The sequence below is a fragment of the Homo sapiens genome, chromosome 22 (assembly GCF_000001405.40).
Source record: "Homo sapiens chromosome 22, GRCh38.p14 Primary Assembly".
Lineage (NCBI taxonomy): Eukaryota > Metazoa > Chordata > Mammalia > Primates > Hominidae > Homo > Homo sapiens.
This window is the reverse complement of record NC_000022.11, coordinates 34,994,400-35,000,399: the sequence shown is the minus strand read 5'-3', so window position 1 is coordinate 35,000,399 and position 6,000 is coordinate 34,994,400. Positions and strand designations below refer to the sequence as shown.

General features: G+C 44.0%; 1 long non-coding RNA gene across 1 annotated transcript in view; it reads left to right on the top strand.

Moving 5' to 3' along the window:
* Positions 1-2,483: 2,483 nt before the first annotated feature.
* Positions 2,484-6,000, top strand: part of LINC02885 (long intergenic non-protein coding RNA 2885) — a 241,252-nt gene continuing 237,735 nt past the window's right edge. Inside the window, exon 1 of the long non-coding RNA NR_138042.1 lies at positions 2,484-2,681. This is a non-coding gene — a long non-coding RNA (long intergenic non-protein coding RNA 2885). The remainder of the gene's footprint in view (positions 2,682-6,000) is intronic.

The window sequence follows — 6,000 nt, the reverse complement described above, 5'->3', positions numbered from 1 at the left end:
TTCTCTCTCTCTCTCTCACATACACACACACACACACACACACACACAAACACACATTTTAAGGGATTCCTTTAAAAGTTTTCCATACCACATGACTCCATTTGACCAGGAGTGATTTCCATCCAGCCCGGCCGCTCCTTCTTTATCTTCCTGGCTCCCACCCGCTCTCCTTGCACTGCTGGTACCTTTCCATTGGCCAGCACTTGGATTCAGGCTGGAGAGCAATAGGCAGGAATTAATTTAAAGAGAAAAGGATTCTGAGTCAGCAAATGTTTGCTCAGCAACTCCTGTGGGTTCAACGCCTGGCTAGTTTGTTTTATTCCTCTTACCATCTTCACAATCAAGTGAGGAAACTGAGGCTCAGTGAGGATAAGGACTGCTCAAAGAGAGAAGAGCCAGTGATGGAGCTTACAAAATCCACATCCTGTCTCCTCTTGGGAGCTCTGGTGGCCTTGACAAAGGTATTGACTCCTAGGAAAATTGAGTGCACGTGTTAGTAGATTTGTCGGCATAATGAGACAGTAGAAAGCAGGAGCAAGAGCCCTGGGCTGGGAGACAGGTGCCTGCATTTTGCTCCTGTCTCCTCCTCCAAGAGTCTGTGCTATTTTGGGCAGGTCTCTTGCCTTTTCTGGGGATTGGGCCATGTAGTTGGATGGTGTGATATTGCCCAGTTTTACTCTAGGACTGGGAGCAAGACTTTCCCTTCTACACCTGCTCTGGGTGTCAAGAGCTTTGTCTTTTGTTTTGAAGGGGCTTACTAAAACACAGGGCCATTGAAAAGTGGGATTTCCATGTCAGAAAATCTGGATAGGCTTAGCAAAGCCTCTGGGTGTGGCTGTTGTCCTCCTGCTGGATAGTCCATGGGGGACCTGGGCTGCTAGGCAGGACTTCATTCAAGTGCTGTCCTTGCTTGAACCATGAGGCATAGTCTGGGGTATTGACTGGACTCCTACGTGGCTCCGTGCTGCTGGGCACAAAGAGCATATGAGACCCATCCCAGGCTGCCTGGGTGCCCTCCACGTGGTCTTGGTTCTTTGGTCTTCTTCTTGGCCACAACTCACATCTCCTTCTTCTACTCCAAGCCTAGCATTTGAGCATCATTTTTCAAAAAGTTGAAAACATGACGTTCAGATATAAAATAAATAAGATTTTATTTAACTCAGTTAATAAAGGATCAGTAAGATATTAAAACAGTTTCAAGGAGAACACACACACATGCACACACACACCTACTTGCACACACACACACCAATCAGGGATGCGGAAATAAATTTGCTGATAGATGCAAAATTAGTTAAATTAGTTCATATTCTACAGGGCTGCAGTTCTCAAACTTTTTGGTTTTGGCTTATTGTTACAGTCTTGGAAATTATTGAGGATTTCTCAAAGAGCTTTTGTTTATTTGCGTTATATCTATCAATATTTGCTGTTTTTAAAATTATTTATTTATTTTGAGACAGAGTCTATGTCACCCAGGCTTGAGTACCATGGTGCGATCTCGGCTCACTGCAACCTTCACCTCCTGGGTTCAAGCAATTCTTATGCCTCAGCCTCCTGAGTAACTGGGATTACAGGCATGTGCCACCATGACTGGCTATTTTTTTTTTTTTTTGCATTTTTAGTAGAGACAGGGTTTTGCCATGTTGGCCAGGCTGGTCTCGAACTCCTGGCCTCAAGTGATCTACCTGCCTCGGCCTCCCAAAGTTCTGGGATTACAGGCATGAGCCACCATGCCCGCCCAATATTTGCTGTTTTAGAAGTTAAAACTGAGACATTTTTAAAACACAAGAATACACAAGTGCAAATTCCATTTGCTGTCAGAGCAATACTAAAAGTATCACAAGTCATGTAGTCTCTGGAAGACGTCGCCGTACACTCATGAGAAAATGAGAGTGAAAAAGGCAAATAGTGCCTTACTATTATTATGAAAATAGTTTCACTTAACAGGCTCCTCGAAAGTGTCTCAGGCAATCTGATGTACCCAGGTGACACTTTGAGATCCACTGCTCTTGGGCAATAAAATGTAATGATTGGGATTATATTTTTCCCAATAAAATTCATTTTCATTGCTATGGACAAGAATCATTTGCATTACTATGAGCTCTCTATAACTTCTAACCATAGAGAGCTGTAAAATAACCCAGCTGATTGAAGTCGGCCAAAGGTACTCATCCTGGTAAAAGTAGGTAATCCCTGGAGATCCACGGGATAATACACAGAACTCCAGGGAAAGGATGCCCAGTGCTTGGTTTTGTTCATTTCCAAGTCTTTGTCAGTTTTTGCTGACACCACAAACCCTCCTCTGGTTTCCCTGGTGACAGGGCTGCCTGACTCTCTGCCTTCTGTTTCTGGTCTGTCCTTACGGCATAAGCTCCATGTCCATCTTCCCTCTGGGCTCTTCCCTTTGGTTCCAAAGAGCTTATTGTAGAAGTTAAAAAAAAACATACAGTAAAGTGATTATCATAATCCTAATTATCCTCTAGGCAATGCAGAAAAGAAAAAACATAAGGATAAACATATTGAGATTTGCTCTTGCTCCAGCACAATTCCCTGAAAGGCTTCTTCTAAGCCTGGTATCCTGGGAGTGGCAGTGTTTTCAGCGTGGCAGACAGAGCAGTCAGGAAGCTGGGAGCCCAAACAGCGTGAGACAAAGCCACAAAACAGAGGCCGCGCATCAGTCGGTAAGTCATTTCTGTCTTACATCTCACCTTGATAATGAAAGGAAATAAATGTCTTGGTCACGAAACCAGGATCATGATGTGGAAGGACTTCAAGTCTAAACCTTATGGGGGCAGGGGTTGCATCTTGATGAGCCCAGTTGGAAACATACAGAAGATTGGTCCAAGGATAAGAGGAATCAGCAAAGATCTGTCCAAGTAGGGCTACCCGGATAGGGTGGCTAGGAAGTCCTTGCATGAACCAGGATTGCTTTTGGCTACATGTAATAGAAAAACACCTCCATAGTGGCTTAAACACATAAAGGATTATTTGTCAAATAGACCAAGTGCTTCATCGCCTTTCTTACCACGTAGGCCTGTACTCTTATGCTTGTCACCTCATAGTTACTTGCACCATGGCTGTTGCATCCCTAGGAGTCTTCCAGTAGGAAAGAAGGGGTAAGGGACAAGCAGCACCAAGGAGAAAAGGGCAACATACATACATTCATGCACACACGGACACAAAGCACAAACACACACACACACACACACACACACGACTTTTTCTAGAAAGAAAAACATTCCCTGGGCCTTCTGCTACATCTCGCTGGCCACAGCTGCTGTGTATGGCTCGCCAGGCAGGTGGGAAATAGGTTATTTTACCCTTCTCAACCTTTGAAATAGAGAAAGACAAGGAGGAATTGGTTATAAATAGTCTTTGGGTAGACAATTCACAGTGTCTGCCCAGCCCGCTCGTGAGAAATACAGGGATGAACAGACTCGACACAGAACTCAAGGTAAGGAACCTGGGGGTAAAGTGCAGGTCTGCATCACAGCCCACAGGTTCCCACCTTCCCCTTCATTGCCAACATCCCTGCCCACTCCCTCTGCCATACTCCTTCATAGGTGCAGCCATACCTACTCATTATTTCCAGTTTTCTGAATACACCCCTTTGTTTTACACCTTCATGATTTTTTTCATGCTTTCCCCTCTGCCTGGGATGCCTCTCTGTGGTCACCCTCCTCCATCCACATAGTGCCTGTGCTGTGTGCCAGACATAATACAATGAACAAGATCCCTGGAGTCTCTGCTATACTTAGACTTAAATCCTGGGGGAAGGGGCAGAACTAAAGATGGAGCCCATTCCTGATGGGCTGTGGGCAGCCTATGGAGGTAAGTGTTGTTATCATGTCCATTTTAGAGATGAGCAAATTGAGGTTTGCTCAGCAAGTTAAATGCCCATCAAGTTAAATGACTTGCCCAAGGTCACAAGGCTTGAGTGAAAGAGGTGGAAATTGAACCTGGGTTTGCCTGACCCAAAGTCAATGTGTTATGCTACCTTTTACTTTGCCTTTCAAAGGACAGTGCTTCACATACATGTGAAGACTGCAGTCAAATTCTTGAAGAATCTTTCTTCTCAGAAAGATACATCTCCATTCTAATTGCCCACGCCTCCCTAGATTGAGTGTTCTCAAGGGTAGGGCCTGGGCCATATTTAATTGAACATCTTTGGAGTTGAGCATCTTGTCTGTCACATAGTAAGAACCTCAAAACCCAAAAAACTTTGATTTGATTCCCAGCTCCACCAAGACTGTTGACCTTGGACAATTTGCTCAACCTTTCTGGCCTCAGTGACTCCACCTATAAAGTGAGCCTCAATTGTGAAGCTTGGTACTATGGTGTCTAATAAACCTCCCAAATGCTTTATTTGGATCAGAAGGCCTGAGTTTGGAGATATCATTGCCAAGGATGGCAAAGGCTTCAGCTTAGTTCTGGTTCCTTGAGATATTTGGCCATGTAACTTTCTATGACGTTCAGCCCTGTAAAATGAGGAAAAAATACCTTCTTCAAAGTATTGACAGGAGGACAAAAAATAACATACATTATAATAATGAGACTAGCTACCATTTATTGAGCACTTACCATGTGTGAAGATCTCTGCTACGCCCCTTTCATGTTATTGCTTGAAGACTTATAATAACACAGGAAGAAATGTATTATTATTCCCATTTTTCTGATAGTGAAACTGAGAGGTTAAGTAACTTGCCCAAGGTTGTCCAGATGGTCAGACCTGATTTGAACTCAGGATTGACTCCAAGGACTGTGCTATTAAATGGCAATGATAAAATGAAGCCATGTAACTACAAAATGCTGTAGAACATTAGTCCATGTACCCAACATAGGTTGCATAATTGAATGAGTCAATGAATGAATACCTTTTCCATCTTTTAGCTTCGCCTATTTCATGTCCGGCACAGTGCCATACATATAGCAGGCATATAGTGCTTATTGATAACGAATAATGAATGAATGGGCTTTGTGATGGTTAATTTTATGTGTCAACTTGATTCCATCAAGGGTGCCCAGATTAAGTATTATTTCTGGGTGTGTTTGTGAGGGTGTTTCTGGATGAGATTAGCATTTGAATTGGTGAACTCAGTAAAATAGATTGCCCTTCCCTTGTTGGTGGGCATCATACAACCACTGAGGACCTGGATAGAACAAAAAGGCAGGGGAAGGAGGAATTCACCCCTTTTGCTTCCTGCCTTCTGAGTTGAGACATAGGTCCTTTTCTGCCCTTGGACTGGGATTTACATCACTGGTTCCCATGGTACTCAAGCCTTTGTACTTGGTCTGGAATTATACCACTGGCTTTCCTGGGTCTCCAGCTTGCACATGGCAGCTCATGGGACTTAACTTCCATAATCATGTGAGCCAATTCCTCATACTAAATCTCTCTCTCTCTCTCTCTCTCTCTCTCTCTGTCTCTCTATATATGTTCTGTTTCTTTGTAGAACTCTAATACAGGCTTATACACCTTTGCATCCTTGTCTTACCGTGCATAACCTGTTCATTCATTCTGCTGATGGTTATTAGGTGCCTACTGTATACAAGAGCTTTTCTACAGGTTAGAAATAAACCCAGAGCAAGGGATAAAATAATTGCATAGGAAGTAGTTTGCAGAAGTGGAATGAAGAGAACCCAGAGGATTGCTCCCACCCCCAGCCCCCAGACCCAGTTCTCGAGATTAGCTTATGCTCTTGGAAAAACAAACCAGCCACCTGCCTAGTTGATCCTGTCATTTAATGTGCTATTTCCCCTGCCTTTGCTGTTCTTCCTGCTGGAGAAGGTCCTTTGCGAGCAGAAAGGAACTCTCTTGTCCAGAGAGCATGTCCTCTCCTTCCTTGTAGCCCACCTCAGCTCAGTTCATCGTCTCTGGCTGGTGACACTGCAGTCAATTGCCTGGGAATTACTGTGAAATTACTCTGGGAAAATTAGAATGCCAAGAGGGGACTGAGCAGGGAGAAGAGGTGAATATCGAGCTGCAGGGGAGCGGCTTTC